The 18,738-nt window shown below is 39.1% G+C and overlaps 1 protein-coding gene across 4 annotated transcripts in view; it reads left to right on the top strand.

The window, feature by feature from the left end:
- GDPD4 (glycerophosphodiester phosphodiesterase domain containing 4) overlaps positions 1-18,738 on the top strand; it is an 85,142-nt gene that overhangs the window by 13,813 nt on the left and 52,591 nt on the right. For 2 of the 4 annotated variants that reach the window (XM_047426557.1, XM_047426558.1), the window contains exons 2-6: positions 467-2,802; positions 11,667-11,726; positions 16,494-16,592; positions 16,664-16,757; positions 17,927-18,004. In XM_047426557.1, the coding sequence (XP_047282513.1) occupies positions 16,533-16,592; positions 16,664-16,757; positions 17,927-18,004 (232 nt within the window). In that variant the 5' untranslated portion in view covers positions 467-2,802; positions 11,667-11,726; positions 16,494-16,532. Of the gene's footprint in view, positions 1-466; positions 2,803-8,487; positions 8,582-11,666; positions 11,727-16,493; positions 16,593-16,663; positions 16,758-17,926; positions 18,005-18,738 lie in introns of all 4 variants that reach the window. The other 2 variants (XM_011544834.1, NM_182833.3) reach the window with 2 other exon arrangements.

Genomic DNA, 18,738 nt, shown 5'->3' with positions numbered 1-18,738 from the left:
AACTGATTCCATATGGGAGAGGAGAGAAAGGGAAGGAGCAGCCAGCTGTGTGTCTGAGTCACTTATTAGTCAACGATGGTATTTTCATGTACCTCACCCGTGCCTTTAACGTCTCAAGTTATTTCAACAGCATATTGCAATTTGAGAAGCACGTTTGCATATATTATCTAATTTGATTCTTTCAGCATTTATTAGTTGGTGAGGACAGGGAATATTGTCCCACTTTAGAGGTGAGAAAACTAAACCTAGAGTGATGCAGTGATCACAGTAAACACTCAACAAGTTAGTGGGAGGGAAAGGTAGGAAGAAACTCTATTCTTCTGCCCCAAATCCAGTATATTACCTTTGATTATAAACAGTTTTTTAAAAATCCATCTGTCTTTGATAAAATTTTCTGTAGAATGGTGGGATAAGGTACATTAAGGGGAGCGACACTAGATCCTGATTATTTTATTTGTCTTTCCAGCTAAAGGGTGAATCATGTTTAAGAAGGTCAACAGGATTGAGCACAAGAGGAATAAGACAGAAAAACCAAAAAAGCTTAATCCATGGATTCCACGCATCTTCAACCACAAATGCTTTGTCACCTTCCTTACTGGCTGCTATAGTTGCCTCTGGAAATTCAGACAATGGGAAAAAACTAAAGTTGGATTTTGTTGCTGCACTTGGGTACAGACTGATAAGGAGCTGGACCACATTTTCTCAGATGCGGGGAGCATAGGCTGACTGCTGGGCCCCATGAGGGCTCTTTATGGTCTCCAGGACTGGGGATGCTAGGGCTCCATTTCTTCCATAAAAGTATTGCACCAATGTTAAACTTACTGAAACATGTACTTGCTTTCTTCATTTTCTTTCCTTCACTTCATTTTTCACTTTTATTCTTTACTTTTCCTTACTACCTCTTTTATGTTTATTCATTAATTCACTTTTGCATTTATTCATTCAGTGAATCTTGAAGAAAAAGTGATGTTTGGGTGCAATTAGATATTTTTGGTTACGGATTACAGGGATGCCTGAATTGTAATTTGCTCTCCTCTGTGAATTTCTCTTCGCAGGAGAAAAAAACAGCAAGTGAGAAACAAGGTGCTCCTTTATTATTGGTCAAGCTAGTGGTGATTTTCCCTGAGGAAGAACTCTAGTAAGGCTGAGTGGTGGCACGTGGACTAGCCTTTTTTAGGGCCTCTATTTGTAAGCCATATGTTGGAACCCTTTGGTGAGCTACATGGTATAAGTGATTAAATGATCAGCACACTGAAATGAGAACAGAAGAGCAAAATCATGTACCTTTACTTATTTGTAAACATGGTCCAACTAGGGTCCCAGAATCAGACCAGTTGGGTCATTAATTTCTTATACCTGAGGTGGGGAACACAAGGAAAGGGGTAGGAAATGGGAGGTTTCCCTGCAGTAGGAAGGAATGTTCTTCTGTCCCCACTGTATCTTTCCTGCCCAGATATTCGGCCTCTATGCTAGTCACTGGGGATAATACAAGTGCTTCAGGCATGGTTCCTGCTCTCAAGGAATTCAGTCTACTGTGGGGAAAGATAAGTACACACACAATCTCAATATAGTGAGAGAAGTGCTGTAACTGTATGCGCATGTACACAGGCACATACCAAGGGGAGGGCCACCTTTTAGAAGGTGATGGGTGATTAAGAATTGGATAGGTAGAGAATTGGGGATGGTGGAAGAATTGGTATTGGAGGAGTAGTCAAAGGGCATAATGAGTTTGGAGACTGATACAAGGTTTATTTTAGATGAAGGAGAGGATATGAATGTGAAGAAGTGAGGGGAAAAGAAGCTAGAGAGGGAGATGGGTCCAATGTTGTGTGGTTTTAAGAATTTGACTTCTGCCATGTTGGGAATAAAGAATCCCCAAAGACTTTAAGCTGATGAAGTAGTCTGAGCTGTGTTTTGGAATGATTATTTGATTGTGTGGAGGACGTATTGAAAAGGACAAAACTAACACAGGGAGACTTCTTTGCCTTCAGAGAAAGCAGTACCTTCTCCATAATGATAACCTCCATTTTGGCTTTGAGCTTACACAGATCTGGGTTCTAGTCCTGCCCCTGCCACTTCTTAGCTGTGTGATCTTGAATCAATTATTTTACCTCTCTGAGCTTTCTTCTGCAAAAATGAGGTTGATGCCCAACTCATATGGCTCTAATGAGAAATAAATCAAATGAAAGTAGCTTGTGAAATTCCCTAGCATTTTACTAGAACAAAATAGCTACTTAAAAAAAATTATTCTTTAACTCTGATTCCCCCTTTCTTCTCCAATGGGGTAGATTGATGACTAAATGAACCAATTAATGATGAATGAATCAATAAATTAATTGCTGAACAAAACATTTGATAGCTGGAGAGGCAGATGAATTCAACAGATGATTGTTGAGAGCCAGCTGCATTCAAGAAACAATGCTATGTATTGGTAATACAGAGACGTTCCTTTTCCTCAAAGAAGAAACAGTGTAGCATCAGATAAAACATAAATGCATAATTCCAGTTAAGTGTAAGAAAGGTTGTAAATAGGCATATACAGGATTTGGTAGGGGTAAAAAGAAGAGAGTGATCACTCCAGCCTCAGGAGGGTAATGCATGGCAGTGCAACTATGCTGACCTTTGGCAAGTGTATACAGAAACTGCTGAGGTAACAAGGATAAATGGAGCTAAGTTAGATTTCTTTTTTCTTTTCCCAGAAAGAGCAATTATTTTGCCGTGCCTGGTAATTTCATTTGTCTTGTCTCTGATGTTGCTGTTCCTGTGGATAGAAACATCCAGTGAATACTTTAACTTTGACTGGTGAGTTTCACTTTTTGTAGTTTCATTTGTGTAAGGGTATTTTGGTCTGATAGCCACCTGGATTCTACCTCAGGCTGAAAAGATCCGGTGATATAGTAGGGAAGGCGGACAAAACTGGGCTTTCCACAGCTTTTGGGTGAGAGGCCTGCCTCTGGGGCAGGGGTAGGATGCTTAGCACCCTAACCTATTGTACTTTCTTCCACTGTGCTCAGTCTCATACTTAGACTAAATCTGGCTCAGTAGGAAGCTTTCATGCTTCCAATATCCACAGTCCTTCTACTCAGATAATGATTCCCTGGTATCTTTTCTTTAGTCTCTTTGAGTTACTGATGTTGACACTAGTTGGTCTTCATGATCTCTATCCCTGAACCCTGCCTTCTCTGCTGCTCCTATACCCTCTTCCTCTCCCTGCTGTTCTTAGGAGGCTTCCTACGATTCTGAACACAGTGACAGGTATCCCTTTCCAGTACCCTTTTCATGGCTAAACTCCTACTCTGGAATGTTCCCAGCCCTTTTCTGGCTTGATGTCTTCTAACCTTCCTGCAAATCTTGTTATTTGGTATTTGGGGGAGAAGGATCTGTTCGGATATGGGGCTTTTAAAAATGGAATACAGTTGTTGTTTTCTTTGTAGAAGTAAAACATGGTTTGTTATTTTATGTGTAAAATGCAAAAAGTTAGAAAATATAGTATCTGCCTAGTCTCACTCTTGAGAGATAATCACTTGTTATATTTTTCTATGTTTATTTTTATATTATGCTCATATTGTATACATAATTTTGCTTTCTCTTTTCACTTAAAATAATAAACATTTTAACAAAATTTTTAAACTCCTAATGAACATCATTTAAAATGGTTTAAAAATATTTCATGACAGATGCTATAATACACTTAGCCATTTTTAATTGTTAGGCATTATATGTGTGTCCAATTTTCTTGTTTTTATAAACTAGTAATGCAGATAAATCTTTGTATTCTGACTAATGTTCCTAGAATAGATTCCCATAAGTGGCATTATTGAGTCAAGAAGAATAAACGTTGTTAAAATTCATTATGCCCCAAAATTAGCCAGGCATGGTGGTGTGTGCTTGTAGTCCCAGCTACTTAGAAGGCTGAGGTGGGAGGATCCCTTGGGCCTGGGAGGCAGAGGTTGCAGTGAGCCGAGATCGTGCCACTGCATTCCAGCCTGGGTGACAGAGCCAGACCCTGACTCAAAAAAAAAAAAAAAAAAAAAATTCATTATGTCTGTTGCCAAAGTACTTTCTCAAAAGGTTATAGCAATTTCTATTTAAAACAGAGGTATATGACAGCATTAAATATTGTAATATTGCATAATGTTTTCTTGATGAAATTTTTTGTTTTAATTTGAATCATTTAGTTTCAGAACAAGTTTATTTAACTAATTTCTTTTAAAATTTATTTTCCTTTGCCTACTTATTCATTGGGGGTTTTCAGTTAGCCTTCTCACTGGTTCATCTGCAGTTTCATTTATGGGCCAGTTCTGAATTATTCCACAGGAATTGTATTTCAATTTAAAATATAAATGCTATGGTATAATTTATTTATTTATATTTATAAATTTTAAAATACCAGCTCTGAGATCCATAGTTGATAAGGTTTATGCAAAGTCTAATATCCAAATCTTTCTGCCTCTCTCCCCATCCCTTGAGTGGTATCAAAGTCCTGGGGCTTACCACAAGACAGCAAAAATAGCGTGGTGGTGGTAAGAAGAAACTCTGGTCATCAAAATGACACTGGTCACTCTGGTCATATTACTTTCATTAGACAGTGCCTCAGTCAAGCACTGGTCCCTAGCTACTTTTTGGAATTGCTCTTCCAGGCATTTTACAGAAATATCCCTCACAACAGGCTTTTGCACTGACCACCGGCATGGCTTGGAACCCTAACCATTGTTCCCAAGACTGAGATGCTTACTGGCTAGCTTCCATGATCATCCTTGCAGCCATCCCCCATTTGTGATCTTCGTCTGCCAGGATGTAGTGTTGTAAATCAGGCACAAGTCTCAGTACCAATGAAGTCTTCAATCTTAGTGCAAAGTTGCAGCATAGTCTTTCATTTTCTTCATATGTTTTTAACTTGAAGACTATTTTGTATAATAACTAATATAGCTATACTAGCTTTGCATGGTTTATCTTTTCCATCCTTTATTTTTTTAACCTTTCTGTAGCTCATGTTTTGGAAGTTTCTCTTATAAATAGCATATGGTTGGGTTTCTCAAATCCAGTTTGGCAATATTTGTCTTTATGTTCCAAATAAAAAATAGCTCTGTACTAATATATCACTAATATATTTTATTTGAGCTTACATCCATATTCTTCCTAATGCTACTGTCCTATCAGTTCTGTGTTTTTTTTTTTGTTGTTGTTGTTGTTTTTTTTTGAGGCAGGGTCTCACTCTGTTGCCCAGGCTGGAGTGCAGTGATATGATGATCTTGGCTCATTGCAGCCTCTGCCTCCCAAGCTTGGCTCATTGCAGCCTCTGCCTCCCAAGCTTGACCGATCCTCCCACTTCAGCCTCCCAAGTAGCTAGGACTACAGACACAAACCACCACACCTAGCTAATTTTTATATTTTTTTGTGGAGACAGGTTTCGCCATGTTGCCCAGGCTGGTCTCAAACTCCTGAGCTCAAGTGATCTGCCCGCTCGACCTCCCAAATTGCTGGGATTGCAGGTGTGAGCTACCGCACCCAGCCCTGTGTTCTTTTTTCCTCTTTTCTTGCCTTATTTTATATTAAGTATTTTTTATTACTTCATTTTTTCCCTCTATTAAATTGGAAGGAATACCCATATTTTCTCTCCTACTCACTCTTGCTGTCTTTTTTGTACCTACCCTGGAAATTACAACATGTAATCTTGACTTACCGAAGTCTTATATTAGTATTTTCACCTTTTCCTGGATAATACAAGGATCTTGAAACACCTTAACTTCATATACTTATAACTTCTTCAGACACTTATAACTTCTGAGTTATAAGCCATTCTCATCATATATTTTAATCCTACATACTTTTCCAACCACATACGACATTATTGTTGTTTTGTATAGTTAATATTCTTTTAGATTTACCTACATATTTACTTTTTTTTATTGCTCTTCATTTTATCATGCACCTCTGATCTTTCATCTAGAATCTTTTTTTCCCTGTATAAAAAATAACCCCTACGTGTGCCGTAGAAGAGGACTGTTAGGGAGAGGCCTAAGCTGTGTACGCCATCAAGCCAGTACCTAGGGGGAGCAGACTAATAACGTCTGTTCACACATTTAGATGCTTCAAAGCTAGGATTCCTTCCCCCACAAGTCACAAACTGGAAAAGTTTGTGCTTACTCCTAGAATGTAACCCTGTAAGGTTCCAAATCAAAGTGTGTTGTGTTTACGAGATTACCTTCTCCCCTGTAGCCCTGTGAAGTTTACAAGAGCTTCCTGTACCTCAGCCAATCCTTCTAGAGAAAAATTACCCCAAATGCTACACTATCACTGGATTTCCTTCCTTATTTAGATCTTGGCTTCATAGTTCTTCACTGTCTGGTAGATATCTGATGCTTTCATTTAGATTTTTCAAAACATTTTGTCTAGCTTTTCTAGTTGTTCCCCTTAGCTAGAAAGAGCAGAATTTTTTGGTAGGGTAACCGTAACTCTCTCTTTTCCCCTCTGTGTGTGTTGTTTCTCCATTTCAAACTGTGCGAGGGTTCCTAGGGCCTCCACCATCGATGGTATCTTTTTTTCTCATCTAGAGTTACTGTCAGCTGACAGTTGGTGATGCTGATATAAAACATTGCAATATGTATTGGGGAAAGGTGCAAGAAAGCTGCATCTTACAGCTGTGAGAAAGGAGGGAAGGGGTCCTTGAAGGTTTCTTTAAACATTGTTATAATGATAACAGAAAATATGGATTTTACATGAGTAGGTTGCATTGACTAGGCTGCCCCAGTAAAGCTGTCTTGGTTGAGTGAGTAGGCCTACATCCAAAATGGAGGTGTGATTATGCTGCTAGAGGGATGTAACACAATGGTCCAGAGCGGAGAGAAAACTGCTTAAAAATACTAAGTCAGAAGAAGCCTAAATTGGACACATTCACATAGAGTAGGACTTCTGCATAGTCATCAGCATTGTATATTCTCAGCTTAAAGAAGTGACGGCCAAGAAAGGAGACTTCCTTTTTCAGTTCCCACTGATGTTCAGGCAGTCACATAAGCAAACTCCTTCTCGCTCTTTTCACTCCCTTTTTTCACGCCACTACCATCACCAACAGTAAGTACAGTTACTTACCCGGATGGGAAGAAGTAGAGGGAGAGAGAGAAAAAGCCAAATCACAGTTCTTCTTTTGCCTGTAATCCATAGCTGGGGGGTGGGAACTTCACTTGAGTTTGGTGAGAGGGCTTTGAAGTAAAGCAAACTAATAGTAATATTTACATGTGATCTGATATCCAAAAGAAAACCTTTTAGGTAGAAAGGGATTAAAATAAAATATCAATGTGACCAGTAAAATGATTAGAAGAAAGAGGAGTACCATGAAATGACAAACACTAAGTTTTCTTTGTTACTTGGAAAGCAAAGTCAATATCACAATTTGGTTAAACTGATTAGTTCTTTGACTACATCTAGAGTGCTATTAAGGCCAGATTTCATGTTTTTTTTTTTAATTTCGAAAATTTTTTTTCAAGATCTCTGTTTAATAACCACCTGTGCTTGGGTTAAAACATCCTATTCTTGTTTCATGGATGTGAATCATTCCTTTACATCATGGAAGATCTTAAATATATTTATTTTGTGGCTCTTTTCTGATTCTATTAATTATGTTTTTTTGGGTCCAAGTTTTTCTATTTGTTGGCTCATAGGGTTCATTTGTTGACATCCCTTACATATTTTCTGATTCCTGATTGTGAGCTCATCTTCTACAGAGCACTCTTCCCAGTCTTGATCTGGGATACCTTTTGCTAGTTAAGGCTCTTTGCCTGTTTGTTTCTTCCTAGTTTATCTCACAGCTCTTGTCCAAGAGAATTTCCTTTATAATTCTTACTAGTGTAGTTATATGTTCACTAACCTATAGTTTAATTCTTAAAAAATTTAATTTCTCCAGGTTTTGTACGGAGAGGAGGAAATTTCTGTTTTCTTGAGATGAAGATTCAAATTTCTTTGTGTAATACCTAGATCAAGTATAACATTGTTTCTCCTAACAAATCATTAACAATTTTCTCTCATATGCTACATTAGGAACAGAAAAATTGGGGCTTTTTTTTTAATATGGTGGCTGTGATTGCAATTATGTCCAAAAATACATATGCATGTGGACAAGGAGCCTGCCAAAGTGTAAAGTATTAGTTTTGTTCAGGCAGTAAACTTATGGGATGTATTGTTTCTCTTCCGGTATTCCCAAATTTCTGTGTTATGTTAATTTTTAAAAGAGGACGTAATTTTTAAATATGTATTCTAAGTAACTTAAGATCCTACTGCGTTTACAGACCCCATGAACATCCCCAATTGCCTACAGAACACAACTTTAAAACTCCTCATATAATTATCCGCAAAAGCTGCTGTTCACACACTGCTTCTTTTTATCTCCCTACATTTGCTTATGCCTTATCTAGTCTGGTTTTGTCCCCATCCTTGACACAGATGCTACTGATTTCTGCATTATTTTAAGAACTGAAACACATTTTTTTTCAGGGTCACTTTTCTAGGAACAGGATACTGGTTTTTCTGGTCTATTTTTATTCTGAGTTTAGCTAGGATCCTGACTGCCTACTCTTCATTGCTGTTGGTGAGTAATGCTTCTCATTTCTTCCACTCCCTTCCTGAGTAGCCTGATGAGGTGTTCCTGCCTGTGGTATAGTATCCAGTTGGTACTGGGGACTCTCAGAACCTAAGATCACTCTTGTCTTAGTAGAGTTGGGATTTACATTAGCTAGTTGAATTTTAGGCACAAGGAATAGGACGTGGAAGGACGTGGAAGGAAAGCCTGTTCTGTTAGAGGATGTGTCTTGCCAGTTTGGCCCTTTGAAAGTGTAACAACATCCTTTTTCTATTTCCTTGTTTCATACCCTATCCTATGGTTCCCTCAATATTGTCATTTTAGATACCCATAGCTTCACAGCAGCAGTATCTTTACTCATCTCATGTCCCATCTTCTGAAAATCAGTCTTTCTGGGTCTTAAAAAAATTTGCTTACTTGTTAAATTTGTTCTAATGTACAAATGCTAGTCACCTAGCCCAGATGCAAAGTACATTTTAGCAAAAGCCTTTGGCAATAGTGTGACCTTGCTTCTGTTGCCTAACATAGTAGTGTCACTTAGTGTGAGAAATTTATGCCAGGTAAGAGAAAAGTCTGGAAATGGGAGGATAACTTTAGACAGAGTTTTGCAGTGCCCATTTATACATAGGGCAGATAACTTTCTCTGATTTCACCATTCCTTTCTCTATTGAATTCTTGTCTGATACAGAAGAACCTAGCCCCCAAATATGTTGCTATTTGCATGAACTTTTTCTTTCAACAAAACTTATTAATCATTATATGAGCAGAACGTTGTGAGAAGTGCTGAGTATACGAAGATCAATAAAAGCTAAGCAATTTCTGTTTTCATGCAGTGCACTTCATAGAGGTAGATGTGAGATATAAGTTATAACTATTCCTTGTCACTGTAGTGGGATCTTAAAGGAATGTTAGATTTGGACATATAGATATGGTAATGAGGAAGAACATTGTGGACTGAGGGAGCTTCATGACTAAGCAAGACAGAAAAATATAGGCTGTCTTGCTGAGAGGGAACGGTCAGTTCTGTTAGTATGTAGGGCATAATGAAGAATAATGGGGGGCCAGGCACTGTGGCTCATGCCTGTAATCCCAGCACTTTGGGAGGCCGAGGCGGGTGGATCATAAGGTCAGGAGATCGAGACCATCCTGGCTAACATGGTTAGAAGTAAAGCACTCCTCAGCAAATGTAAAAGAACAGAAATGATAACAAACTGTCTGTCAGACCACAGTGCAATCAAACTAGAACTCAGGATTAAGAAACTCACTCAAAACCGCTCAACTACATGGAAACTGAACAACCTGCTCCTGAATGACTACTGGGTACATAACGAAATGAAGGCAGAAATAAAGATGTTCTTTGAAACCAACGAGAACAAAGACACAACATACCAGAATCTCTGGGACACATTTAAAGCAGTGTGTAGAGGGAAATTTATAGCACTAAATGTCCACAAGAGAAAGCAGGAAAGATCTAAAATTGACATCCTAACATCACAATTAAAAGAACTAGAGAAGCAAGAGCAAACACATTCAAAAGCTAGCAGAAGGCAAGAAATAACTAAGATCAGAGCAGAACTGAAGGAGATAGAGACACAAAAAACCCTTCAAAAAGGAGCTGGTTTTTTGAAAAGATCAACAAAATTGATAGACCGCTAGCAAGACTAATAAAGAAGAAAAGAGAGAAGAATCAAATAGACACAATAAAAAATGATAAACCCCGTCTCTACTAAAAATATAAAAAAAAATTAGCCAGGCGTGGTGGCGGGCGCCCATAGTCCCAGCTACTCGGGAGGCTGAGGCAGGAGAATGGCGTGAACCTGGGAGGCGGAGCTTGCACTGAGCCGAGATCGAGCCACACTGCACTCCAGCCTGGACGACAGAGCGAGACTCTGTCTCAAAAAAAAAAAAAAAAAAAAAAAAAAAGGAAACATGGCTGAAAAGAGGTTTGTGAGATTTTGGAAGGCCTGGAAAGAAAGGCTAAGACATTTGATATAAATCAGTTTTCTATTTTAGGAAAATTATTCTTGATGTTGTGGTTTGGAGGGTGGCTATGGGCAGAGAGACCAATTAGAAACTTTTTTTTTTTTTTTACATGGGGAAAATGTAGATGAAGGATGTGCTGTAGGGCAAACTCTGACCACTGAATTGTACCACTTTTATGCACAATAAACATGAAATGGTATAGTTAGGTTCTAAGGTGGGAATGAATTCAGGTGTCCAATAAAGCAATATATTTTAACAAACTTTCTACTCTACCCTACTTCTTTTTGGATACATGCAATGGCAACAATAGTGAAAAAGGAGGGGGACCTGGATTCTATTTCTAGTTCTATCTTTAGGTACTATGTAACCTTGGTCAAGGCATGTAACTCTTCTGACCTCAGTTTCATTTTTTTTTCAAATAAGAATGATAATATTTAATAAAATGGTATAATATAGGGTTAAGTAAAGAACAAATGAAATACACATGAAATTATTTTGATAAAGAGGTAAGTGCCTTACACATCAAATTATCATTAATATCCTAGGCATCTGAGGACTCCAGTTCTCAATTTCTGTCTTTACACTGACTTGGTGACTGGCTAGATTTAGATTAAAATCCAAGATTTGTTGAATCTATACCAGTGTTAACAACAGTGGTTGACAATTGTAACAACAGCCCTGGTTCCCCAAAACAAGAGTCCTTGGAAGGGCTGCCTCCTGACCTTTCTTCTCTTACAAGTGAGTCCAAGTAATACCATGAATAAGGTTCCTCACAGGGAAAAGAAATGGGCAGGAACTCAACTGAGTATCAGTGTGGTAATTGTTATGAAATCTTAGAGGAGATAACACAGAATTCTTCCTGAGGTTGCGGGTGAAAGTTATAAATAGGAGGTGAGATTTGAACTGGCTTTGAAGAGTCAGTGGCATAGGGAGAGGGAGCTTTTTCAGGCAAACAACATGGAAAACTCCCAGAGGCTAAATAAAGTACAGGTATAGCAAGAAATGAGTGTACTGCTAGACTGTGAACGGAATTTGGAGCTATAGGAACAGTGCTTTGGGTGGCAACTTGGTGATTTCAAAATAACTCTCTTTTTCTTCTTTGCTTTTGCAGTTACTTGGATTTTTGTTGCTTTGGGAAAGGATTGAACTATACCTGCACTTGTGTCATAAGGTAGGACATCTGAGTCCACATAGGAAACCTTAGACCAGGACTGAACCTTAGACCAGGCCTGAACATGCTCCTTGGTACTCAGTTTTGTGTATGGGGTTACCCTCTCTGTTACTGTTCTCCTTGGAGAGAAGAGATTTACTTACACCATATTAACTGAAATAATTAAATTTCTAACGTTGCAACTGATTTATGGAGGGAGCTGAACCCGAGCTGAACCCAAACTCTTATTTGTTCTCACTACTTCCTATTAAACTCAATCTGTAGCCCTGTTCTTCCCATTCCAGTAAAATCTTAGGCACTCATTCCATTAATTTCCCAGTACTTTTCAGTCACAAGAATACTCTCATTTCAGTGATTAAAAATTTCAGTTCACTGTAATAACCTAAGCTCCAACTTTATTAACCTTAAAATGTTTCCCCTCCCCTATTTGGGCCTTATCCAAGCCTGAAGCCCATAGCGGCAGAGAGGGCATGGTGGTCCTTCTACCTCTTTTCCGCCTGAGTGGGGTCCAGGGGAAGAGGAGATGGAGAAACGAGCACAGTCTCACAAGGAGAGGGGAGAAAGGGAATCAGGGGTTCATTTCTAGGTAAATGTACAGTTGCTTGTTTTCCCGTGGACGTTTTCTATGTGTGTTTTCAGAAATCCTACTGAGAACCTTGACTATAACTCTCTTGGTGGAGTCAATGCCTGTCTTCCTGTAGCCCCCTGAAATTTCTTTTTTGAAGTCCTTTTTACCCCGTCTTGGGTTTGGATATCTTTAAAATAACACCAGCATGATTTCTTTCACAGGGTCTATATCTGGTCCCCAGAGGACAGTCAGCTTTGCCCCACCATCTGCAGGCATGCAGCATATTTCCAATATAGCATCCTTGTTTTGTTCTCCCATGGGCTTGAGCAGCTCCAGTGACAGCCTCTTGCTTTTTTATAGACTTTTTTGGGCATGGTTTTTAAAAATTGATACATAGTAATTAGACATATTTGTGGGATCCATGTGATGATTTTGATATATGCCTACAATGCATAATGCTCAAATCAGGGAATTTAGGATATCCATCATCTCAAGCATTTATCATTTCTTCATGTTAGGAACATTTCAACTCTTCTAGCTGTTTTGAAACTATTTTTTGAACTATTTTGAAGCTATTTTATATTATAAATTATTGCTAACTGTAGTCACCTTACTGTACTGTCAAACATTAGAACTTACTCTTTATCTAATGGTATGTTCTCATTAACCAACCCCTCTTCATTTCTCCCACTCTGACCCACCCTTTCCAGCCCTTGGTAACTATCACTCTATTCTCTACTTCCATGAGATCAACTTTTTTACCTCCCAAATATGAGTGAGAACATCAGGCATAGTGTTGATACCATTTCTTGTATTTCTTGTATTTCCCCAAATCCAGAAACATTTCAAACTCTTGAGTGGTCCCCTTAAGTCTTAAATCAGTCAATTTGCATTGCTAATAAAGGAATACCTGAGATTGGGTAATTTATAAAGAAAAGAGGTCTATTTTGTCTCATGGTTCTGCAGGCTGTAAAGGAAGTATAGCACTGGCATCTGGTCCTGGTGAGGGCCTCAGGAAGCATACAATCACGGTGGAAGGCAAGTGGGGAGCCAGCATATCACATAGCAAGAAAGGGAGCAAGAGAGAGAAGGAGGAGGTGCCAGGCCCTTTTAAACAACCAGATCTCATGTGAACTCACAGAATGAGAACCCACTCATTACTGCAAGGACAGCACTAAGCCATTCATGAGGGAGCTGTCCCCATGATCCAAACACCTCCCACTATGCCCACCTCCAGTATTGGTGGTCACATTTCAACATAAGATTTGGAGGGAACACAGGTCCAAGCCTTATCAATATCCTCTTATTCAAATGAGAAGTATGAACTGGAAATATAAATTTAGAGTTATTAGAATAGATGGAGCTTGAAGCCATGAGATTTTTTCTAGGGAAAGAATATAGATTTGAAAATTGAACAAATAGGCCTTATTGATATCCAACATCTGTTTTGGAGTTGGGACACCATGATAAATTAACCAATACCAAGAATCCCTGAAAACATTCTGATTACCATTCCAGGTTAGTGTCTATTATAAAAACTATGCTTATGTTGCCTGTGCCAGTTAAGTACTGCTACTTGGCCTCTGCCACAGCAGAAGCACATCATCCCCTTTGAAATCAGGAAGACTGTTTGAGTGGCAGCATCTCTCACCTTTTTTCAGGCATACAGGATGGCCACCACAGTGCTTTTCAAGGATGCTGACACTTTCCTCACCAGCGTCTTCTGAGACCTCCCAGAGAACACGATATAGGGAGTAGGTTAGCTGATCATAGGTGATACCGTTCCAGCACCTTTTCTTAATAAATCTTTTATTATTTCTTCTATATTATACTAAGAAATTACTGGCATCCCAATTTCATTGAGCATAGGCTACCAATGAGCCTAGGCTTCAGATAACCAAACAATCAGAACCTCTTTGAACTGCTTAATACCTGAATTCTAGGATATTAAATCCAGAATCTCTGGTAAGTGCACCCATATCAATAAATTTAGTCTGGTCTAAAATTATGTTCTCTTTTCCTTGTCTAGCACCCTTAGAATTCATTCCCACACATATTCTACAGGATTTTTGCCAATATTTGTTAGTAAAATCTTGTTTTCTAAGCCTTCATCTTCTGAGGCATTCTGGGATCTAGTTCACAGAGTCTGAAGGCAATGAAAAGTGCAGGGTGATTGTTAAGAGTTGGCATTCCCTTGGAAGTTAACTACCTTGGTTGAGTCTTCAGGTCTTCAAACCAGGAAGGACCAGGCTTATCAGACTTGTGAGGAGAGACTGATTTTATTGGCAAGGGAGATTTTGTGGGGCTTGGAGTTTCATTTTATTGTACTCAGAATAAATTTAGGAAGAAAAGCATTAGCACGAGGCCTAGAACCCCTTCCCCTTCTACCTACAGATGCCCAGAGAGAAGCAAATGGCATCAACCCAAACTCCTTGTAAACATGCTAATAACCTGACCTCCTGGTAAACACACGAAATGTATTTGTCAGCTGCTTATCTGCAAAAATTTCTAGCAGGATATACCTAGATATATTTAGGTTGGTTTTATTGTAAACAAACCTGGAATATATAGGTTCATGTGTTAAAAGATATTGACTGGCTAGAGTTATATAATTAATGGAATATAAAATAATGATGCTCCATAAAAAACCAAAATGACGCCTGTGAAGCAATGTTTCTTCATATTTTGCTCAAAACACACCTTACATTTTAAGTCCAAAAACAGAATGTATACTAATACGGGAGAGGAAAGACCCTATATGAGTAACTGCATTTGACGTGATCATATTCACTCAAAAAAAAATTTTTTTTTTTTTTTGAGGCAGAGTCTCACTCCGTTGCTCAGGCTGGAGTGCAGTGGTGCAATCTCAGCTCACTGCAACTTCTGCCTCCCGGGTTCAAGCGATTCTCCCACTTCAGCCTCCCGAGTAGCTGGAACTACAGTTGTGTGCAACCACACCTGGCTAATTTTTGTATTTTTAGTAGAGATGGGGTTTCACCATATTGGCCAGGCTTATCTCGAACTCCTGGCCTCAGGTGATCCACCCTCCTCAGCCTCCCAAAGTGCTGGGATCATAGATGGGAGCCGCTGCTCCCAGCCTGCCACTGGAAAATCTTTTATCTGTTCTCTATGATTGCCTGTATCCTTTAAATCCATAGTGAAGTTTGGTGTTGGGTAAGATCTGTGATTCTTATGACTCTGGCAATTCAACTTTTGTGTTGTGATGCATTTAGTTTTTCCTAATAGGTTGTTTAAAACTTTTTCATCTATGTATGTATTTTCTGTTCTTGTAATAATGTCCTTGTTAAATTTGGGTATAATGTTTTGTTGCACTCTTAAGATGTTATAAAGTATTCTCTCTTTTTCTATTCTCTGAAAGAGTTTGTTAAAGATTGGAAATATTTCTTCCTTAAATGTTTGGTAGAATTTATCATTGAAGTCAGCAAAGAGTTGTGAAAGACTTAATTATGGATTCAGTTATTTTAGATGTAGAGATTATGGAAAGGAGAGCTAAGTACTGTCTAGAGGGCAGCACGGATGTAGGAAAACTATACATTTGAAAGGGAGGAAGTTAGGAAAATTAGGTCTTCTTGGTCTCAATGTTCTTTCTCTATGAAGTATACAGTGTTCTGGCAGGCAGGTTTTTTCATCTGTTTAATAAATACTTATTGGATGCTTACTATGTGCCAGGCATTCTGCAGGACACTGAGGATGTAATCATAAAAAATACCAATATTAACCTTGACTTCATGAAGCTTATAGTCTGTTGGGGAAAACGGACGTTGAAAAGGCAATTACAGAGTATTATTTACTTATAATTGTATTGAGTATACAATTGAGGACTAAAGAAATGGTGAAGAATTTAATGGCAACTGTTGAATCTGAGTAAGAGATACCAAGCAATGTTGAGGACCCAGCTGAGGCTGGAGATAGTAAATTAGTAATGGTAAATTAGCTGTGTAATTTTTTCCAGCCATGCTGTACAGCAAAGACTTAGAAGCAAAGAAGGTGAATGATTAGTTCCATCTAATACTGGGGATTTGCAGGAAAAACAAGATCTTTCTCTACATTATTATGGTAAAAGAATGAGGAAGCAGATAAGGTCCCTGACATTGTGAAGACACACATATAATTCCTGAGGACAGTTCTGATCCAAGCCTAGTGCTTGAAGTCAGGAGATTTTTTTTCTGTTTCCCTAGATCCTGATTCTGCTAGTGATTCTTCTGTGTGTCATTTTAATGTTCATTATATGCAAATTCTGGAAAGAAAGGTGGCTGGTAGCTGGGCTGTCAATGCAGGTAAGCATCATCCTATAGCTCCAGCACTAGCTGTCTAGATGTATCCAGCCTGACTTTTGGCTTTCTCACAGATCTTTGCTCCCTACGTGCACCTGGTCAGCATAACTGTGATGGTTATCCTTTTCTGGCCTGTGGCCTTCTACGTGGCATGTTTGGAAAGAGAAGGTATGTCACATAGGGCAGAACCCTGCCTATTTCTTCAGCTCTGGCTTTAGCTTGCATACTCCACTCAGGAAAACAGAAGCTTGGGAACTAGCCACCCCTATGCCTCGTTGAAATTCATTTAGCTTGTTACTCAGGCATGCTCCTGTGCTTTCACTCACTACCCTGTTATAGTGGCCAATGGCCTGTCATAGTATTTCTGTGGCCAAACAGACCTTCTTCTAAAGAGGGATTCTTTTTTTGGAAAAATAAGATCTTTCTCTACATTATTATACATTGACTGTCTGAAGATGGATGGTGGGTGACGCAGTAGAGGCTGTTTTAATTTTACTTGACCAAAGTGCTGGTACAAGTCACAGTTCTTTCCATTTATATTCAAATATTAGTAGTTTCTTTTTTTGTTTGTTTGTTTGTTTGTGTTTTTTGAGACAGAGTCTTGCTCCATTGCCAGGCTGGAGTGCAGTGGCACAATCTCGGCTCACTACAACCTCCGCCTCCTGGGTTCAAGCGATTCTCCAGCCTCAGCCTCCCAAGTAGCTGGGATTACAGGCATGCACCACCACGCCTGGTTGTATTTTTAATAGAGATGGGGTTTTACCATGTTGGCCAGGATGGTCTCAATCTCTTAACCTCGTGATCCGCCTGCCTCAGCCTCCCAAAGTGCTGGGATTACAGGCGTGAGCCACTGCGCCCGGCAAATATTAGTAGTTTCAACTAATACTAGGTCCAGAGATTTCTGCTTACATCCAAGTAACTCAAAGCAGTCCCCTGTGAGACCATGTCATACCTGAGGACTTACAGCAGAAGGTTAAATGTCTGTCTCTGTCACTGGTTTCCTCTTCATTGTTTGTCCCAGTGTAATGGAATCAAAAGAACTGGATCTGTACACTAAACTGTTTTGAGAATGGAAGTATCTTTCACCACTCTATGGATAAACCAATAGGACCTTCTTCTCTCTGGGTCTCCTTTTTCCTCCTTTTTAAGTAAGAGGTATTTGCTTTCTGACCTGTGGGGGTATGCAGGCAAGAGAAAGACTGCATAGATAGTGCTGCCATTGTGTGTTTATATATATATGCTTGTGTGTGGAGGGTAAATTTTAGAAAGTATTTCTGGGGCAAGGGCTTAAAGGGGACAATAATGAACTCTTTTCTTTTTCACTTTCTAAATTTTAGTTAGAATGAGAAGATACAGGATGACACATTCTGAGAAAAAAAGACTCAAGCAATGTAATGTAATCACAAGGTTAAGAGGTTAGAGCTGGAGACTGAGATTTGAAAGTCACTAAAGCAAAGGTGGTAACTTGAAAATGTACAAATGGGTAAAATTCCCAGAGGTCTAAAATAGTAAGTCTTGGGGAATGGCTGGTTATCGCAGGCATTGTGTACAGGCTCTGTATGTGAATGTGTGTGTATGTACTAGAGGGAGAGGGAGGGAAGGAAAGAGGGGGAAGCAAATGATTAATATTTATAGAGTAACTATTATGAGTCAACACTGTCATAACAACCTATAAGGTTGATATAAGCAGCAGGACAGCCCCATTTTACAGAAGAAAATGAAGATTCAGAGAGGTTAAGTTGTCCTTAGTCACACAATTAGGAAGTGGCAGAACTTGGCTTTAAACCCAGATTTCTGCCAATTAGTGCCCTTTCCACTATACTGTACTGCCTTAAATATACAGATGTTTTAGGATGATCTTTACAGGCTCTGGGGCTTTCTTAGAATCAGCCAAGCTCCTCCTCCTCCTGAGAAGCTGCTCCTTGACATCCCTTCTCCTTCCTTTTCTTCCCCATCTGTCCCCTGTACAGTTGAGCCCTCTGTCAATTTCCAGTTCCAGTAAAGTTGCCTTAATAATAATGCCCTATATTTGTACAGTTCTATACTTTTATATCCAAATCCCTGGAAGTAAGTGGAAATGTCACAGAAATAGAAAGTAAATTAGCCAGTACACAGTCAATGAAACCCATGGACTGTGGGTTTACTCAGA

The sequence above is a fragment of the Homo sapiens genome, chromosome 11, assembly GCF_000001405.40.
Source record: "Homo sapiens chromosome 11, GRCh38.p14 Primary Assembly".
In the NCBI taxonomy this organism is placed as follows: domain Eukaryota; kingdom Metazoa; phylum Chordata; class Mammalia; order Primates; family Hominidae; genus Homo; species Homo sapiens.
This window is presented reverse-complemented; position numbering and strand designations above follow the sequence as displayed.